The 20,915-nt window shown below is 45.4% G+C and overlaps 1 protein-coding gene and 1 pseudogene across 5 annotated transcripts in view, besides 4 other annotated features; one reads left to right on the top strand and one right to left on the bottom strand.

The window, feature by feature from the left end:
- USP13 (ubiquitin specific peptidase 13) overlaps positions 1-14,404 on the bottom strand; it is a 136,362-nt gene extending 121,958 nt beyond the window's left edge. For 4 of the 5 annotated variants that reach the window (NM_003940.3, XM_011513269.2, XM_017007426.2 and 1 more), the window contains exon 1: positions 14,051-14,404. In NM_003940.3, coding sequence (NP_003931.2) covers positions 14,051-14,218 — 168 coding nt within the window. In that variant the 5' untranslated portion in view covers positions 14,219-14,404. Of the gene's footprint in view, positions 1-13,693; positions 13,787-14,050 lie in introns of those variants that run through there. The other variant, XM_017007425.2, reaches the window with a different exon arrangement.
- Positions 13,931-14,574: an enhancer, noted in NCBI's record as "H3K27ac hESC enhancer chr3:179370658-179371301 (GRCh37/hg19 assembly coordinates)". NCBI's record gives its function as "activates a minimal SCP1, AML or CMV promoter by ChIP-STARR-seq in primed H9 embryonic stem cells {active_cell/tissue: H9 hESC(primed)}" and the evidence as "EXISTENCE:reporter gene assay evidence [ECO:0000049][PMID:30033119]".
- Positions 13,931-14,582: a biological region, named in NCBI's record as "H3K27ac hESC enhancer GRCh37_chr3:179370658-179371301".
- Positions 14,243-14,582: a silencer, noted in NCBI's record as "silent region_14923". NCBI's record gives its function as "represses an Ori minimal core promoter by ATAC-STARR-seq in GM12878 lymphoblastoid cells {active_cell/tissue: GM12878}" and the evidence as "EXISTENCE:reporter gene assay evidence [ECO:0000049][PMID:35858748]".
- Positions 14,593-14,672: a silencer, noted in NCBI's record as "silent region_14922". NCBI's record gives its function as "represses an Ori minimal core promoter by ATAC-STARR-seq in GM12878 lymphoblastoid cells {active_cell/tissue: GM12878}" and the evidence as "EXISTENCE:reporter gene assay evidence [ECO:0000049][PMID:35858748]".
- Positions 17,162-17,999, top strand: H3P13 (H3 histone pseudogene 13; annotated as a pseudogene).

The following is a 20,915-nucleotide window of genomic DNA, read 5'->3' as shown; positions in this document are numbered from 1 at the left end:
ACAGTACACCTTTTAGAGTCATTTCTTATTTTTATTTTATTTTTTAAAAGTGATGATTTTCTTCAGGATGAAATCCCCCTGATAAACATGAAGATTGAATTTCCAGGCTAACCCATAAAAGCCCATCCCTCTGATCTGAATTTGAGTATGAATAATGGCCCAGAACAGAGTTCCCATCAAAGAGGCCAGCAAAAGCTTTCACTGTTGGGGAGAGCCTTATGCAGAATTACCGAGTAAAAGATGTCTCTCTTCGGCAACCCCAAGACTCCGTAAATGCCATTTCATCTTCTTCTCGAAGGGAACCGCTCACTAAACCACTGATAAAAGGGCAAGTACCTCTGCTACAGATCCACTAGCTTAAAAGTGAGAGCTAGGGAGAGGAGAGTTCCAGAGAGGACAGCAATAAGATATGTTGAATGGGCAGCTGTGATTACAACAACCCTGCAAGGTAAGGCACTACTACAGAGGGGGAAACCAAGGCTCACAGGAATTCAGTGACATTAAAGCATTTGCTGAAGTCACATGGCTACTAAGTAGTAAGTGGAGGTGGATTTGAGCCCAGGCCAGTCTAGCCCCCTGCGGGCTGCCTGGTGCTACTGAGAAGCAGATGTCGTTTTGGTGACAGGAGCCAGGTGGGCGGCTGTCGGCAAGCACATGCTCTCGTGGGGGCTTGGGGAAAAGAGCAGTTTCTCTTTTTTTCAAGACTTTCATTCAAGGAAAGCAGGAGGGACAGGCAAAGGACAGCAGCCCCACTCAAGTAAGCAGCCTGTGCCAGGCACCCTGCCAAGCTTTCCTGCGGGGCAGGAGAGAGGTTTCAGCAGGCTTTGCCAGCTCCACTCCCCAAATGCAAAAGGACAGCTGGAGTCCCTGGGAAGTGGCCACTCCAGATTGACAGCTCCCTGACAAAAACAGTGGCAAGACCCAAAGTGCTGGGCTCCGAGACACTGGTGAAGGAGCTGCAAGACTTAGAGGCTCTCACAGCCTACTCGCCCTAATCAGCTTTTGTCCAGCAATGAAACTGGGGACCTAGAAAGAGAATTCACACTAACTGAGGCTTCTTCCAAAGAACAGGCTGGACACTCAATGGCAGAACCTGCCCCAAATGGCACCTCCAAAAGAGCAACTCAGCAGCTTTACACAAATGATACAATATGTGAATTACTTTCAACCCTGCTTCCTGTAGCCACTCCCACCTATTCCTCATTCCACTTCCGGAATGACCACCATCCTCATGCTGTTCCCTTGCTCATAAGTGGCTGGTCCCTCAGGTCTAACCTTATCAAGACCAACCTCTTTCACATCCCACAGAGGATTCAACCTTGCCTTCCAGTCTCCCCAGGAATCTTCTCTTCCATAAGACAATTTACTATCTCACATACAAGCCAAGTTGGTCCCAACTCCATACCTTTGTCCACCCCTACCCCTCCAAAGCACTGTCTCTTCGGATTCCATCCAGTTGTCCACGCCAGTAACTCTACTAGATTTTGTTGATTATTCCCAGGTCTAAAATCTCCTCTCACAAATTTTAAGCACCACACTGTTTAAAGTTTAAATATCCAGCTGGGTGCAGTGGCTCATGCCTGTAATCCCAGCACTTTGAGAAGCCAAGGCAGGCAGATCACTTGAGGTCAGGAGTTCAAGAATGCCCTGGCCAACATGGAGAAACCCTGCCTCTACTAAAAATACAAAAATTAGCTGGGCATGGTGGTGCATGCCTGTGGTCCCAGCTACTCAGGAGACTGAGGCACAAGAATCACTGGAATCGAGGAGGCGGAGGTGGCAGTGAGCCGAGATCACACCACTGCACTCCAGCCTGGGCAACACAGCAAGACTCTGTCTCAAAAAAAAGAAAAGCCTTAAATATCCTATAAGTGCTGCAGGGTCTAACTTCATGACTCATCAGGGCTTAAAGACCACCTCTGTCATGAAGCCATCTTTGAACAAATCCTTGAACAAATTACCTAACCTCTCTGACTCTCCATTTCCTCATCCGTAAAACAGGGGCAAAATCGTAACTATAACATGTAAGCCAATTACTATCATAATTAAATGAGATGACGTACATAAAAGTGCCTGGCATAGTGTTTGACTCATAATAGACACTTGACGGATTGGAGTTAGCTCAAGCGGTTATGTCCTCATGCCAGACTTTCCATAATAGACACTTGAAATTAGCATACACACTCCACTACGATAGAGATCCTGCCATGGTCCTCTGTTTCCCTCCCACTTACACCCTCTCTACCCCTATAATACCAACTGCAGTGCAGAGTGCACAGGAAGCCATAAGTCAGTATTAACACTTGTTAACTAACACAAAGCAGAATGTTTCCTTTTTAATCTTTTTTTTTTCTTTTGAGACAAGGTCTCACTCTGTTGCCCAGGCTGGAGTGCAATGGCGCGATCTTGGCTCACTGCACCTCCGCCTCCTGGGTTTAAGCGATTCTCCTGCCTCAGCCTCCTGAGTAGCTGGGATTACAGGCACCTGCCACCATGCCAGGCTAAGTTTTGTATTTTTAGTAGAGACGGAGTTTCACCATGTTGGCCAGGCTGATCTTGAACTCCTGACCTCAGGTGATCCGCCCACCTCAGCCTCCCAAAGTGCTGGGATTACAGGTGTGAGCCACCACGCACCATCTTTCCTTTTTAATCTTACCACATGAGGCACATACTATCTTGCACCTCAAGCAACATCTCTGTCCAGAGGCGTATTCAGATTCATTAAATTCTTGTCATTGTTACATTGTCCTGTTGTTCTAGCCCTAAAAATAGGTGTTCCTGTTCACATCTTCCCTGTGCCTGGGAACAAGGGGAGTCCTAACTGATCACCACAATACTGAACAGACCAGACAGAGGCCTGATCTGCAACCATAGATCCCAGTCCTCTTGTCATCTCCCTGAGGGGCCCAATGTGGGATCTTTTACCAAGCACCCTAGAATCACAACATATAAAACATTCAGCAAGTACTCGAGACACTTTTCCCTGGCTTTTCAAGGGTCAAACCTATGATGTTTCAGATAATAAGATAACATGAAAATATCATATTGGCGGCTGGGTGCGGTGGCTCATGCCTGTAATCCCAGCACTTTGGGAAGCCAAGGCAGGTGGATCATTTGAGGTCAGGAGTTTGAGACCAGCCTGACCAACATGGTGAAACCCCATCCCTAGTAAAAATACAAAAAAAATATCCGGGCATGGTGGTACACACCTGTAATCCCAGCTTGAACCCAGGAGGCAGAGGTTGCAGTGAGCCAAGATCATGCCACTGCACTCCAGCCTGAGCGACAGACCAAGACTCCAAAAAAAAAAAAACACACCCAGAAAATCAGAAAAGATGCAGGCTTAATGGCACAGGTTCACAAACTGTGTAGTTTTCAGTTCTCTACTCTTTTCCTTTTAATTCTCCAAGACCTCAGCTATTCCACATCCCCACAATCTGTATCCCACCCATGACAGAGATGTACAAAGTGAAGGCAAAGGAAAACAGATATCTAACTCAGCTTCTGAGGATGGGAGGAGTCCTCACAAAGAACATCTGAGCTGGCTTTAAAGGACGAACAGGGCTTTTCCAGGAGGATGAGGGTGAGAGAATGCATTCCAGGCCAACGCAAGAGCATGAGCAAGCACATGGAGGGGCAAGAGCATGGAGCACCTAGAGAATGGAAAGTCTTTTGGGACAGACAGAAAGTAAGCAGAGGGGCAGGAAAGCTGGATCAACAAGGTAAACTGAGGTGATGTGCCATGTTAGAAAAGTCTGAATGGCACCATTGAGGATTTCAAGGCGGGCAAATGAGATGATCAGACCCCTATTTTAAAAATATCCAAGAGTGTAGTGTGACAGACTGGAAGGGAAAGTAAGGTGGTTGTTAGGAAGCTTCTGCCACAGTCCAGGTGAGAAAGGATGAGGGCCCGAGCCTTAGCAGTGCAAGGGAGAGAGGAGGATATACCAGAATTTGGTGACTGATGGGATATGATGCTAAAAGAGACAGTGAGATAGCCATGTTCATGGCAGCACTATTCACAGGAGCCAAAAGGTGGAAGCAACCCAGTGTCCCTGACAGATGACTGGATAAACAAGATGCGGTATATACACACAATGGGATATTATCCTGCCTTACAAAGGAAGAAAATTGACACAACAACATGGATTAACCTTGAGGACATTATGCCAAGTGAAATGAATCAGTCAAAAAGGACAAATATTGCATGATTCCACTTGTATAAAGTACCTAGAGTGGCCAAATCTTAGAGACAAAAAGTTGAATGGTGGTTGTCAGAGGCTGAGAAAAGGGGAGAACAGGGAGTCATTGTTTAAAGGGTACAGAGTTTCTGTTTTGCAAGATGAAAAGAATTCTGAAGACAGACAGTGGTGATAACTGCAAAACAGTGTGAATGTACTCCAATGCCACTGAACTGTACATTTTAAAATGGTTAAGATGGTAAAGTTTATGTTATATGTATTTTATCACAACTTAAAAAATAAAAAGAGAGAGAGGGAGGTAGAATGGATGATACCATACACCTCTCAATCTGGGGCACTAAAATGGATGGCCGCTCCTTTAACTGAGCTCCAGTCCATAGGGAGAGGAATGCAGGGGAGGAAAAAGAGAATTCAGAGTTGCACAGATGTCCAGATCCAAAATGAGCAGAGAACATGAACTTTTCCAAAAAGTCTTTCTGACAGGATCAGCATCATCTCTCACATTCCAAAGCTCTAAAAATGGTACAACTTTAAAGGTAATGAACTACTGTCCAAAAGGGACAGCAAGTGACTTCTTGATTATGATTTTAGAAAAGCAGGATTTTAGGGTACACATGGCAAATGACACAAAGACATCCATTTCACTCCTTTCTGAAACCCCAATCAAAGGACAGCAAAGGGATTTTTTCAAGACATAAGCTATAGCACTAAAGTCTGGAAAGCTGGACGGCAGGTAAATGAATGCTAAAAGACTAAGATGGCAACAGAGCTGAATCCTAGGCCAGCAGCAGGGAAAGCCAAGATCCAACCTGATCTTCACCCCAGAATGCCCAAAAGACTCCAGAACTGGCAATTCAAGATAACTCTGGAAGATGGGGTGAAGTAGGAGCTAAAATAAAGAGAAAGGTTTTCTATGTAGCCGTCAGAGCCCCAAACCTCACCTCCACTCCAAGAGGCCCCTCCCTCTCCTGGCAAAGAACTAGAGAGTGATTCTCTAAAGCAGACAAAAACAAAGGTTTCAGCGCTGGGGAAGAATGAGCTTAGTTAAGAATAGAGGCACCATCACGAACATGGGGACTAAGAGAATGTATGTGTATCAGTCCAGATTTGGTCAGAAAATAGATGCTATTCAGGTATTACAGGCAGGAAGAGATTTGATACAGGAAATTAAAAGCTTAAAAAATCATGGAAAGGGCATGAGAGCCACAGTCAGAGAAATCACTGCCTATGTTCAGGAACTCAGGATGTACAAGCGTCACAAGAAACTGCACAGATGACGTCAGAATCCCCACCACTGAGGTAACTGTGTCCCAGAAGGACACTCAGATGCTGCTAGGAAAACCTCACATCGACCAGGTGCCACAGTTGCAATAGCAAAGTGGCTTCTCCTTCTCTTTTGCCTTCTAAATCTCTTACTGGAAAAATCAGTATCAGAATCTTGCCACCAAGGGACTCTGGGAAATGCAATGTCCAGGAGCCAGCCCCTGCAATGATGGGAGAAGCTTAGCAAAGCAGGGACACAGCTGAGAACCTACAGGCAATATCCAGCTGGTATCGAATACCCAGATGCTGAGACCACCTTCACCCTCCACTCCCACTCAGTTCCCTAAATACTGGTAGACAGGCCTGTATTTTCCAGGCAAGAGATTAGAATAGTCTCCTACCTGGTAGCCAAAGGAAGAAAAAAAAATCACACTAACATTTAAGCTTCCCCAAAGAAACAGCCCAGCCAGGTCACCCTACAATGAAACTCACAGTTCAGAGAATAAAAAAAAAAAAATCCTATCTATGAAATAGTAAATTCCCAGCTCAAGTAGCTCTAATTTTTTCAAAAAGTGTCAATCAAACTCTCTAAATTTTAATTTGCTTCAAAAAGAATGTGCATGCAACATATGACATCTATGGTTGAGCTAAAATTAAGATAATAATTTAATGTGAACCCATAGGCTACATTTCAGGTGAGGTAAGTGACTGGAATAAGTGGTTATATCTTCTTGCCTAAACTCTAGAACTTTGGTTTCCAAAGTAAGGCCTGGTAACCCTCTGACACCCCAGAGTCTTTAAGTAATTTGGGAGGTCAAAACTATTTTCATAACATGAAGTTACTTGCCTTTCTCTCTCTCATTCTCTCATAGCACACAGTGGCATTTTCCCAAGGCTACGTGACATGCAATGACATCATTTCAAAAGCCAATAGAATGTAATTGTTCAAATTGTTTTAAATTTTTCTCAGTTTTAACTTCTAATATGGTAAATAGCAACAGAAATCACACAAAAGCTTTTTGCGGTTCTCAAAAATAGTTAAAGAGTATAAAGAGGTCAAAAAGCTTGAGAATCACTGCTCGAGAACAACTTTTCAGCTAGTTGCTTTTGGAAGGAAGCTTTTGACATGTGAAACTAATAAGATTTACTTTAAGTTTATATCTTCAAAGTGGAAAAAAGTCTGTCTGCTCTGAAATTTTGCTTTACTACCTTGTATCAGTTTATCCATCAGGAGGAAGAGTTTTCCACAGAGATCCTAAATTAACTTTTTTTTCTCCCTACAAGTAAACATTATGATGGGAAGTCTCATTGACTGCAAGGCAACGTGCATAGTACAATGGTAAAATGCAGAGAATCTACAGGGACTCAAACAAATACTTGTACACCAACAACTGAAGCAGCTTTATTCACAACAGTCAAAAGGTAGAAACAACCCGATGTCCATTAACAGGTGAATGGACAAATAAAATGTAATACATGTACATATATATGATGGAATATTATTCAGCCTTAAGAAGGAAGGAAATTCTGATGCATGCTACAACACTGAACCTTGATAACATTATGCTAAATGAAATAAGCCAGACACGAAAGGACAAATACTGTGTGATTCCACTTATATAAAGTGCCTAGAATAAGCAAATTCATAGAGACAGAAAGTTGAATGGACATTACAAGGGGCTAGGAGAAGGGAGAAGTGGGGGTTTATTGTCAAATGGATACAGAGTTTCAGTTTGGAAGGATGAAAAACTGGAGATCGACAGTAGTGATATTCACACAACAATGCATAGTGATAGTTACACAACAATGCGAATGTAATTTAATGCCACTGAATTGTACAATTAAAACGAGTTAAAATGTTTCCATGCGAATGTAATTTAATGCCACTGAATTGTACAATTAAATCGAGTTAAAATGTTTTGTTTGTTTGTTTTTTGAGACAGAGTCTCGCTCTGTCGCCCAGGCTGGAGTGGAATAGCGGGATCTTGGCTCACTGCAACCTCTGCCTCCCAGGTTCAAGCGATTCTCCCTGCCTCAGCCTCCTGAGTAGCTGGGACTACAGGCGCCCGCTACCCAGCCCGGCTAATTTTTGTATTTTTAGTAGAGACGGGGTTTCACCATGTTGGCCAGGCTGGTCTCGAACTCCTGACCTCATAAGGTGATCCACCCACCTCAGCCTCCCAAAGTGCTGGGATTACAGGTGTGAGCCACCGCGCCCAGCCAAAATGGTTTTTTAAAAACAGATTCTAGAGTCAGACAATTCAGATTCACATCCCAGCTCTCCTACTTACTCTCTGGGTGATCTTTGTACTTGAGTTTCCTGATCTGCAAAATGGTAATAGTATATAACATAGGGTTGTTGTGATGATTAAATGAGTTCATGTAGGTATAATAATATATGCAATAATTAGAAGGCTTGGAATGATGCATGGCACCTAGTAAGTGCCCTATCACTCGGTCTCAAACTTTGGCATGTCTCAGAATCATGCAAAGAGCTTATTAACACACAGACTGCTACACCCCCACCCCCAGATCTTCTGAAACAGAATTAGCAGTTCCCAAGACATGCTAGTGCTGCTGGTTCAGGGAGCACGCTTTGAAAACTGCTCTATATACATGTGAGATGTCATTATTATTACTGGCAATGCCTGAGAGAATACCAGGCACACCACTAAATACTTGTGGAAGAAAGGACAGAAAGACAGAGGATTCACTGAGCCCCTAACATGAAGTGTTCCCACAAGTAGATGGAGATCTCAAAGTCTTTCCTGGTGGATATCTAAACCAGCCACTCCCACCTGATGGCCCCTGTCCATCAGAGTTTCCAAAGACTCCCAGGAAGACAAAGAACCAACAGTGACATCTCAATATCACCGAGCCATCTCAGAGCTTTCAAAAATGGGAAAAAAGCTCCTTCTTAAAAAACAGTCCCAATGCGAGAAGGGAAGAAGAGGTGGGAGTAAGGGGCAACCATTTATGCTGAGTATCATATCCCCTCCGGCCACCTTTTTGGTTCAGCCACTGTATGCAGCTGATTGTCACAGCAGGTGTGGCCCAACAGTCTTAGCCTCAGCTGCACTGAGGACCTCTTGCTTCTCAGCTGCTGCTGGTCCTGCTCAGCTTGTCAAAATACTTCCCATTTGCAGGCTTAGTGCCTATAAATACAGACTTGGAAGAGCGAGGGCTTTTCCACCCCTAGAACAAACCTTGACCAATGGGGGATGGGAGCCAGTGGATAAATACAGTACTCTCCCCAGCTCCATCTCAAGTGGACAATTCTGAGGCACATTCTGCAGTTACCCAAGGAGTCCCCAGTGAGGTTTAGCTCTAGCTGCCCACTGTGGAAGCCAGCTCCATAACTCACTCTTGGACTGGCTTTCCTTCTTTCTCTTTGTCACTATTCTCTTGCTCATAATTCCACTTCTGTTCCCTGGGATAACTTTCCAAAATAAACTGCCTTGTCTAAGCCTCCCCGTTTTCAGTTGACCCAAGCTAAGGCAAGGCATAAACAGCTCCACTTACAATGCAGGTGGGGAGGGGGGCAGAATTAGCACAAGAGAGCCAACTATGAGGACAGACTAGAACCGCTGTGCGGCATGACACAGACTCTACGTAATGCAGGCATTCAGAGGAAAGGATGAAGTCTGAAGCAGAAGATGAAGGTTGAGAGAGAGCCCAGACAAATGATCACAAGAGGAAGGTGGTCTTAGAAAAGGAAATCAGTTGGCCAGGTGCAGTGGCTCCCGCCTGTAATCACAGCACTTTGGGAGGCCAAGGTGGGCGGATCACGAGGTCAGGAGTTCAGGACCAGCCTGGCCAACATAGTGAAACCCCGTCTCTACTAAAAATACAAAAAATTAGCCAGGCGTGGTGGTGGGCACCTGTAATCCCAGCTACTCAGGAGGCTGAGAAAGAAAAGGAAATGAGTCTTACACATGGACAAGCCAGAGACTCGCCTCACTGGAACTGACCACCTGGAAACTGAAGAGACACAGGACAAAGTACACTCATAGAAATGAGGAGCTCAACAACCAAAGAGATGAGAGGAGATTTCCATGCTGGTCCAGGGAGGCTTATGAGCAGAAGTGTGAACCAAGACATCCCTCCTCCACTTAAGCACACAAAACTTCCTACACAACCCCTGACAACCAGACTCTTGGGCTTACAACTTGTGATTAACTCTTTTTCTTTCTTTTTTTTTTTTTTTTTTTTTTTTGAGACGGAATTCCCCTCTGTCACCAGGCTGGAGTGCAGTGACGCAATCTCGGCTTACTGCAACCTCTGCCTCCCAGGTTCAAGCGATTCTCCTGCCTCAGCCTCCCGAGTAGCTGGGACTACAGGTGCGTGCCACCACACCCAGATGATTTTTGTATTTTTTTTAGTAGAGACAGGGTTTCACCACGTTGGCCAGGATGGTCTCGATCTCTTGATGTTGTGATCTGTCCACCTCAGCCTCCCAAAGTGCTGGAATTACAGGTGGGAGCCACAGCACCCGGCCATGACTGACTATTTTTCTTTCTTCTTTCTTCCTTCCATTCTTCTCTATTTCCTCCTTTTTAATTTTTTTATTTTATTTTATTTTTTTGAGACGGAGTCTCACTCTGTTGCCCAGGCTGGAGTGCAGTGGTGCAATCCTGGCTCACTGCAACCTCCACCTCCTGTCAAACTCCTGACCTCAGGTGATCCACCTGCCTCGGCCTCCCAAAGTGGTGGGATTACAGGCGTTAGCCACCGCGCCCCGGCCTTTCCTCCTTTTTTAAAGCAAATGTGTATGTGATTACTAATTGGCCAGACACACTTTATGTATTAATTTATTTAATCCACAAAATAACCTTTTGAGATAGGTTGTTACTGTCTCCATTTTACAGATGGAGAAACTGGGGCTCAGAGAAGTTACACACTGAGTGACGGAGATAGGATTCAAACACTGCCAGTCTGGGCTCTCTCCTTCACGACTGTCCCCAACAATCAATGAAATCACCTCATTCTATGTGGTAATCCCCCATGATTCCTTTCTCAGTATTTCCCATATGTTTTATCCTCACCATGTGCAGGGCCTGTAACTCCATGGAATTCATACATTTCCAAAGCATTCACTGAGCTCCTGGTATATATACCAGATGCTAGACCAGCTGCTGGAAATAACACAAAGTCCCCACTCTCCAGGAAGGTCGCACTCAAAGGCAGAGACAAGCACGTGAACATGTCACTGGGGGTTAGACAGGAATGCTTATGGGGTCTGGTGGAAGGCAATATGGAAATGATTCATAGAGCAAGAACCACTTGAATTCAGTCTTGAAAAGAAGCTCCACTGGGAAGGTGCATTACAGACCTTGCACAATGAACCAAACCATGGAGAGGTGAACCTACACGTCAAGGTGGGAGGGTGGGTCCAGGATGAAATCAAAGAGGTAGGTGAAAAACAAATTCTCACTCATCCCAAAATAGCTGTTATTGAGCATCTGCTATGTGTTAAGCCCTAGGAGGTGGGAAGAAGGGAAGAGAGATACTAATACACTACTCATATCCCACAAAGGTGAAGAATGGCAAAGGTCTACAGACAGTGCCTTAGACATGGTAGGTACACTGTGAATTTGTTGATTCACAATCTTCCTCCAACACCACTTTAAATCACATGACCAAGAATAGCTTTCCATAACTGACCATATAAAATCAAGATCAAATGTTTTCCAGATTCAAGGCCCCCATCATCTACTCTCTACTTGGTTCTACCTCACTTCTTGCTACTTGCCAAATGTATCTTTTTATTCCAAATACATTACAGGCAAATTAGTGGGAAATATTCACACGTTGTATCTTCTTTGCACATATAATTTCCCTGGCCTTGAATGTTGATCTCCCTTATTTTCTAGCCATCTTTGTACATAACCTTTTTCAACAGTAACCAATGCAGGGATGATTTCTTTTTTCCACTCAGCTGGTTTTGGCCTTTTCCCTAAGACATCCCGTGGCACTTGTGGATTAAAGTTTCTGGCGTGTTTAGCACCAATGGATTTTGCTCTTTATGCTCCTTACAGTCATGCATGTATGAGATGGCACATAGTAGGTGCTGAAGAATCCCTTATTGGATTCATAGTATAGTGTTACATACCATAACAAAATACTGGCTGGGTGCAGTGGCTCACGCCTGTAATCCTGGCACTTTGGGAGGCCAAGGTGAGTGGATCACTTGAGGTCAGGAGTTCGAGAGCAGCCTAACCAACATGGCGAAACCCACCTCTACTAAAAATACAAAACTAGCCAGGTGTGGTGGCACACGCCTGTAATCCCAGCTACTTGGCAGGCTGAGGCAGGAGAATCACTTGAATCCAGGAGGCAGAGGTTGCAGTGAGCTGAGATTGTGCCATTGCACTCCAGCCTGGGCAACAAGAGCAAAACTCAAAAAAAAAACAAAACAAAACAAAAAAAACCTTCCCATTATCACGCACTGTGCTTTAAGATAAATATTATCAAACCTTCCCTTCCTCCCCTGAAACATAGATAATGAAATATACTGATTCATCAGCCTTGTAAATAATCCCAGTCTCCCCTAAGGAACTGCTGTGATATGATTGCAATCATCAGTCTACACTGGACGAGATGTTTCTAGAATAGTAACATTCTAGAAACACACACAGTAAGCTCCCAATAACTATTTGTGGAAATGAATTAAAACAATCAGCCTTTTTTCCCACACCTGTTATCCACTGCATTATGCAGCAAAAACTTCCAAGAGCAAAGTTTGTAAGCAGAACTTGAAGAAGAGCCCAAATCAAAACATGGGGAAAGTCATTTGACCCACTTTCCATGTTGTGCTATCCTAAAAAACTTAGGCCACTTTCTTCTTCCTGGAGGTAACAATCTGTCAATTGCTTAAGTTAGGACCATCATCCCTCTCCACCTTTAGAAGCTATTAGTGGGAACTGCCCAACACTGGCCATACAATCTGAAAATGGCATTTTCAAATAATTTATGGATAACATCCTAAAAAAGGACTGCCGATTGTCACACTCCACTCTGTGGATCTTTTCGAAAGAAAAAAAAAGTAAACAATCAAAAATTAAGTTAGGTTTCATCCCTCAAATGATATGGAGTTACCATAAATAAAAAAACTAAATGTCACAGAGAGGATACTAACTCTGATACTCCAGTGTGTGTCGAGCAAAAGTGCTTTGAAGCCAGCCAAAATCAACCCACAGATAATAAAGGAAACTTTGGAAATGTTGCCGCTCATTTGGACTTTTCTTTTCCCCTCTGACAATAGTCCACATGCTATGAATAAAATACATTAGACCATTGCGAGACCTGCCTCGGTCCATCCAATCCATGCGCCTCCCAATGCATTGAGATCTGCCGGGTGACATATGAGATCTAAAGTGGGTGGATAAAAATAACCTGGTCCTCAAAAAGACATGATAAACGCCAGACAGCTGAGTCACTTTGAAGCCCATTTTGACTTTTGAAAGGGACATTCACCCTCCTGCTGCTTCTCACACATTCACATAGAACCAGGTGAAAACCACCACCAACCGCCCCGGGTGGAAGGCGGCGATCCCTCTCAGCTTCCTCCTCATTCTCCGAGGTCACGACTCGGGATTGAACTTTTAATAATTTATACTTGCGCATGTCAGTCCAAGTGACTCATTTAGAAGGGCAAGGTGGGGAAGGCTTAAGAAAACCATCGCAATCCAGTAGATCCCCTATTTCTGCTGCCCGAGTGGAGGCACCGGAAGGTTTCGTCTGACATTTTTTTTTTTTTTTTTTTGAGACGGAGTCTCGCTCTGTCGCCCAGGCTGGAGGGCAGTGGCGCGATCTCGGCCCACTACAGCCTCCTCCTTCCCGGTTCAAGCGATTCTCAAGCCTCAGCCTCCCGAGTAGCTGGGACTACAGGCTCCCGCCACCGCGCCCGGCTAATTTTGGGGTTCTTTTTTAGTAGAGATGGGGTTTCGCCATATTAGCCAGGCTGGTCTCGAACTCCTGACCTCAAACGATCCGCCCGCCTCCGCCTCTTAAAAAGTGCTAGGATTTCAGACGTGAGCCACCGCGCCTGGCCCTGACATTCTAAAGACAAGAAAAGGAGTGGGGTGAAATGGGAACTGGTGGAAGAAAAGCTCAGAGAGCAAATCAGAATTGTCCAGAAGTGGGGATCCCTGAGCAAAGCAAGTGGTCCCAGAAAAAGAAGGGCTGTGTGTGTCCCGGGGTGTGGGGGGATCATCCCGTCCACCTACCCGCCCTGCGCTCTGCCCCGCGGAGGACGCAAACGATCTGCAACGTGCAGTTCGGAACAGGGAACTCTTGTATTTCATCTATCTTTAAACGGCGGCGGGGCTGTGTGCAAGCTGCTGGGAATCGGGCCCTTCCAGCCTGGGGAGGCTGGCGGAGCAAAACCACCAGCACGAGCCAGTCCTCGGCTGCAGCAGCCCTGGGGCGCTCACTAAGTGTCTGCCGAACTGCAGTGTTCCTGAGCCAACTCTGCCGCCCGGAGGAAGAGAAGAGGTCCCGGCCGCCACTGCGCATCTTCTCCCCCGGCTTCACGTGCCGCAGGCCGCCGGCCCCGCGACCCTCCCCCGAGGCGCCTCACTTACGGGAGAGTCGTAGGAGAAGGCGCACTCGTTCTTGTAGACCCTGTCGCCGGACCTGGGCACGCGGATCGTGGGCATGTGGGGCACTAGCAGCTCGCCGATGTCTCCTGCAGCCATCTTCCTGCCTCCGCTGCCGCCCGGCATGCCGAACAGGGCGCCCCGGCGCTGCATGGCCTCGGCGCGCACCGGAGCCGAGCGAGCCGAGCCGGAGCCGGAGCGCGGGGTCTGCCGGCGGCGGCGGCGCCAGCGAGCGGGCTGACGGGCGGGCTGCGCGGGCAACGGCAGCCGGCCGAGCCGGGGCGGGCGGGGAGAGCGGGCTGCGGGGCGGGAGCGGGCACCGCGGGCTTGGGGCGGACTGGCGACGCTATTTTTAATCCAATGGCGAGTCTCCGGCCCAGCTGCAGCGTCAGGCGGGGCTGGGGAGCGCCAGCCGCAGCGTGCCGGGGAGGGGGCGCTGGAGAGGGGCCCTGCGCGTGGGCCGGGCGCGGCGGCGGGGGGCGGAGGGCGAACCCCTGAGGCGTTGGCGCGGGAGCTCGAGCGGGCTGGCGGCCGAACGCGGCGCGGGAGGGCCCCGGGAAAACACCACGGAGGTGTTTTCTATCCCGAATTGTTGGCTTGCAGAGGGGCAACTCCGAGGAGGCCAACACAAAGAGCAGGATTGGGGGTTTTAAAAACCGCTTGCTTTTAAAACAGCCGAAGACTAGGGCGGTGACGTCCCCGGATTGGATAGGGGCGGGACTCGATGTGCAAATCTGAAATCTAACGTGAGGCTTAAATCTAAATTTGCGCCATGCACTTCAGTGCTTCCCCACTAAGCTTCGTTCCTTACTTTAACATCCAAGGCTCAAAAATAGAGCGAATAGAATAAGATCGAGTGAGGATAGAGGGTGTGTGTGTGGGGGAGGGCGGGGTGTGTGTGGGAGTGTGTGTGTAATAATAATACAGGTTTTCTTACATATTGGGGGAAGTCAGGGATGGTCAAGATTTTTTCAGGGCGTCGGAAGGCTTTCTATTTTTCTCTGCCTTTGGAGTATCTTCTATGTGATTCAAAGTTCTCATGTCGAACATTCAGTGGCCTGATTTGAGGATTTTGTAGGCAGGCATACATATTCCTGTCTTGATCATCAGTTCCTCAAAATAAATGATGAATGGGGTTGGCCTCGGGGGTTGATCATTTGCAAGCAGAGCATGTCTCCCAGCATACTCTCATTCTCTCCAAAAAACCCACAAGACGGGTTCAATGACATTGAGGTTCTCTAACTACACCCAACATATGTATTCATGACAGAGTATCCAGTGATCCCTGCCAGTTAATGAAATGCAGAAATAGCGAGAAATAGTGAACCAAAACGCTAATTTTTGTAAGCCTCTCTCAGATCAGATAGTCCTTAAGTTCTTTTTTTTTTCTTACTTTTTTTCTCTTTTAACTCTCCCTGGTTCTCCAGACCTATCTCAAGATTTCCATACCCTCAAGCAAGCCTCGAGCGCACCACACTTTCTTATAACTCAGCACTCCCAAATGCTATCTGTTGGAAAAGGAGGAGGTGGCACTGAGCAAAAAATCAGACACTACTGTCATCTTCCTCATTGGGCAGATCCTCTCAGCGAGCTTTTGCTTTGAATTTAGTCTCATCAGCTTATTACCTTTCACGTTAATGGATGATGTTTTCTCCAATTACAGAGATAAACTTGGTTTTACAAAACTTAAAATTTAATCTTAGATTAAATACAAATTAAATCAGTGAGACACTGTTTTTCATCCTTTGGGCTGGTAAAGATATATTGAGTTAGCATGGGTTTGGGAAGTAGACCCTCATTACATTGTTGGTGGGGATAAAAACGATAAACCTCTTTGGAAGGAAATGTAATAATACCAGTCATAACTTTATATGTGCATACTGTTTTCCCCAGCATTTCCTTGTCTAGACATTTATGCAACAGATAAATTAAGGCTGTGTAAAGATATTTGTTAGAGCACTGTTTCGAGTAACAAACGTCTGGGGAAAACCTAAAGATCCTTCTGTAGAAAGTGGTTAAAATACAGTACCATTGAAAAGAATGAAGTTGCTCTACGTGTGCTGATGTGGAACAATCTCCAAATTATTACTAGATGATAAAAGCAATTTAAGCAAACTAGTGTATAAAAGCAAGGAATACATGCAAGGCTGATAATATGCAGTAGGCATTTTGGCACATCCTATATACCATGGGCCTTCATTCCAGTTGGTTGTACTTGTAGTAAATATTTTTAATGTAGCCCCTTAAAATATACATATGTGTATGCATGCCCACTTGTTTGGCTTTAGGATGTCTCTAGAGCAATACACAAGAAACTAGTCAGGCTCTGTGGAGAAGAACTGAAAGCCTGAGGTTAAGGGAGAACTTACTACCTGGTATGGTAGGGCTGTGTCCCCACCCAAATCTCATCTTGAATTCCCACGTGTTGTGGGAGAGACCCAGTAGGTGGTAATTGAATCATGGGGGCAGGTCTTTCTCGTGCTGTTCTTGTGATAGTGAATAAGTCTCACAAGAGCTGATGGTTTTACAAACGTGAGTCTCCCTGCACAAGCTCTCTCCAGTTGTCTGCCTCCATCTGAGACGTGCCTTTCACCTTCCACCATGATTGTGAAGCCTCCCCAGCCACATGGAACTGTAAGTCCAATAAAACTTTCTTTTGTAAATTGCCCGGTCTCAGGTATGTCTTTGTCAGCAGCGTGAAAACAGATTACTACACTACCACTTTGTAGCTTTCTGTATGATTCCATTTGTATTATGTGCAAGTATTGCTTTTTCCCCCCCTTTCTTTTTGGAGATGGAGTCTCCCTCTGTCGCCCAGGCTGGACTGCAATGGCGCGCTCTCAGCTCACTGCAACCTCCGCCTCCTGGGTTGAAGCGATTCTCCCGCCTCAGCCTTCCAAGTAGCTGGGACCACAGATGCACGCCACCACGCCAGGCTAATTTTTTGTTGTTTTTTTTTTTTTTTTTTTGTAGAGACGGGGTTTCGTCACGTTGGCCAGTCTGGTCTCCCACCTCGGCCTCCCAAAGTGCTGGGATTACAGGCGTGAGCCACCGCGCCCGGCCTCAAGTATTGCTTTAAAAGTTAATTAAAACTCAGCCATCGCTCTCCAACACCAGCGCCGCCTGTCACTCGCCACGCTCCAGCAGAAGAACGGGTCTAAGTAAGGAGGTCACTATACCATGGCTGGTACAAAGCTGACTGCCCAAAAATCAATTGGTGGTAAAGAACCCAGGAAGCAATCCCAGCACTTTGGGAGGCCGAGGCGGGTGGATCACGAGGTCAGGAGTTCAAGACCAGCCTGGCCAAGATGGTGAAACCCTGTCCCTAGTTAAAATACAAAAAAAAAAAAAAAAAAAAAATAGCTGAGCGCGGTGGCAGGCGCCTGGAGTCCCAGCTACTCGGGAGGCCGAGGCAGGAGACTCGCTTGAACCTGGGGGGCGGAGGTTGCAGTGAGCGAAGATCGCGCCACTGCACTCCAGCCTGGGCGACAGAGTGAGACTCCGTCTCAAACAAAAAAAAAAAAAAAACAAAAAGCAAAAAAAAACAAACAAAAAAAACTCCAGGAAGCAACTAGCTACAAACGCCGCAAGAGTGCGCCCTCTACTGGACGGGTGAAGAAACCTCATCATTACAGACCTGGTACTGTGGCACTCGTGAAATTAGACGTTATCAGAAGTCCACTGAACTTCTGATTCGCAAACTTCCCTTCCAGTGTCTGGTGCGAGAAATTGCTCAGGACTTTAAAACAGATATGCACTTCCAGAGTGCAGCTGTTGGTGCTTTGCAGGAGGCAAGTGAGGCCTACCTGGTTGGTCTTTTTGAAGACACCAACCTGTGTGCTATCCATGCCGAACATGTAACAATTATGCCAAAAGACATCCAGCTAACACACCACATACCTGAAGAATGTGCTTAAGAATCCACTATGCTGGGCACGGTGGCTCACGCCTGTAATCCCAGCACTTTGGGAGGCCGAAGCGGGCGGATCACCTGAGGTCGGGAGTTCGAGACCAGCCTGACCAATATGGAGAAACCCCATCTCTACTAAAAATACAAAACCAGCCAGGTGTGGTGGCGCATGCCTGTAGTCCCAGCTACTCAGGAGGTTGAGGCAGGAGAATCGCTTGAACCTGGGAGGCAGAGGTTGCAGTGAGCCGAGATCGCGCCATTGCACTCTAGCCTGGGGCAAGAAAAGCGAAACCCTGTCTCAGAAAAAAAAAAAAAAAAAAAAAGAAGCCACTATGATGGGAAACACTTCATTCTAACACACACACACACACACACACACACACACACAATTTCTTTTACCTGTTGTTGGTAGTTCTGAACGTTATCTATTTTTTTTTTCCCATGGGGTCAAAACGTACTAAGTATATATGATTGCGAGTGGAAAAATAGGGGACAGAAATCAGGTATTGGCAGTTTTTCCATTTTCATTTGTGTGTGAATTTTTAATATAAATGTGGGGACGTAAAGCATTAATGCGAGTCAAAATGTTTCAGTGAACAAGTTTCAGCAGTTTAACTTTATAATAATTATAATAAACGTGTTAAATTTTTCTGGACAATGCCAGCATTTGGATTTTTTTAAAAACAAGTAAATTTCTTATTGACGGCAACTAAATGGTGTTTGTATCATTTTTATCATACAGTATATTCCATCACTATACTTTCTGTGTTGTCCTACATGCAAGTACATTTTTTTTGGTTTTTGTTTGTTTTGTTTTGTTTTGTTTTGTTTTTGTTTTTAAGACAGTCTCACTCTGTTGCCCAGGCTGGAGGGCAGTGGTGTGATCTCGGCTCACTGCAACCTCCACCTCCCGAGTTCAAGCAATTCTCTGCCTCAGCCTCCTGAGTAGCTGGGATTACAGGTGCCCGCCACCATGTCCGGCTAATTTTTGTATTTTTAGTAGAGACAGGAGTTCACCATCTTGGCCAGGCTTGTCTTGAACTGCTGACCTTGTGATCCACCCACCTCGGCCTCCCAAAATGCTAGGATTACAGTCGTGAGCCACTGCAACTAGCCCATGTTTTTAAATGTTGTCTGTCTTCTGTGCTGTTCCTGTAACTTTGCTATTAAAATACATTAAACTATAAAAAAGTAATTAAAACTCAATTGTAAAAACACTACAAGTTCAATGACTAGTAATAGTAATAGAAATTGAAGTTGCATCACTATAAAAACGCATTCCAACTTTTTTCATATAATGGCACACGTTGAAAATGATATTTGTACAACCCACTGAAATAATCAGTCAAGGATGTGTCTTTTAGCCAGAGCCTACTAATCTGAGGACTCTGATCACCACAGGTCCCATCCACGGCCTCTCAGAGGACTGAGGAGATACCACACCTGAATCCATCTCTGTGCACCAGAATGCCAATGGCATACCAGATGGAAAGTTCTAATCAAACCAGGGAAAAATAGAAAACATCTAAAGATAGAGAAATTATTAAATTAGATACATCTACTCAAAGATGCTTATACAAACTTAAAATGATAATTATGAAAATGAATGATTTAATATGTTTATAGAATGCTGCTTAACATGCTTGCTATACTTATATAACATTATCGCAACTGGGTAAAAATAAATAGCCATTTTGACAAGACTGGAAAATTTAAATAGTTATGTTTGGGATTAAGTTATAAGATTTTGTTTCTATTTTCAAAATGTTTCCAATGATATCGCATTTGTTTTGTAATATAAAAAGTTATCAGCCGGGCGCGGTGGCTTACGCCTGTAATCCAACACTTTGAGAGGCCAAGGTGGGCGGATCACCTGAGGTCAGGAGTTCGAGACCAGCCTGACCAACAAGGTGAAAACCCATCTCTACTAAAAATACAAAAATTAGCCAGGCGTGGTGGCAGGCGCTTGTAGTGTAGTCCCAGCTACCTGGGAGGCTGAGATAGGAGAATTGCTTGAACCTGGGAGGCAGAGGTTGCAGTGAGCCATGATCGTGCCACTGCACTCAAGCCTGGGCAATGGAGCAAGACTCCATCTCAAAAAAAAAAAAAATTATCCAGACAAAAATGTTAGTAAAAGAAGCTTCACTGACGTATGACCACTGTGTTAATCATGACATTTTAGGAAAACATCTGGTTCAATTACTGGAATATTTAAACTTAATTTTGCAGATTCTACATGTGAATTTTTTTTTTTTTTTTTTTTTTTTTAGAAACAGGATCTCACGCTGTTGCCCAGGCTATATATCACAGTGGCACAATCAAACCTCACTGCAGCCTCAAACTCCTGGGCTTCTGGGTTCCAGTGATCCTTCCTACCTCAGCCTCCTCAGCAACTAGGACGATAGGCACACACCACTGTACCAGGCTAATATTTTTTTTTTAGAACCAGAGTCTTGCTGTGTTGCCCAGGCTGGTTCTGAACTCCTGGGCTCATGTGATCCTCTCACCTTGGCCTCACAAACTGCTGGAATTATAGGTACAAGCCACTGTGCCCAGCCTACATATGAATTCATAACTGTTTTACTACTAGGCTAGTTTCTGTATGTGAATCCCAGTCAATGAGCAAGAGGAAAGAAATGATGGGTAAACAATTTTCCAACATAAATTCAAAGTCTTACTACAGAGGTTTTAAGAGACATGAAGACTATGAACTGACTTTTGCCACATCAGTGTGTCAGGCCACCATGTCACTCTACTGCTCCAAACCCTCCTCTCACGATTCAGGGTGGAGCCCAGGCTACGATAGACTAAAAGATAGACTGAGGCATTCAAGGGCCTCTTCCACCCAGCAATGATCTATCTTTCAGACTTTACCTCCCACTCTTACACATCTTGTGAGCTCAGCTTACTCTTCCCTAGCCGTTATGAAAGCTCTCCCCT

Source organism: Homo sapiens, chromosome 3, assembly GCF_000001405.40.
Source record: "Homo sapiens chromosome 3, GRCh38.p14 Primary Assembly".
In the NCBI taxonomy this organism is placed as follows: domain Eukaryota; kingdom Metazoa; phylum Chordata; class Mammalia; order Primates; family Hominidae; genus Homo; species Homo sapiens.
The sequence above is the reverse complement of the archived record's forward strand: the minus strand, read 5'-3'. Positions and strand labels throughout refer to the sequence as shown.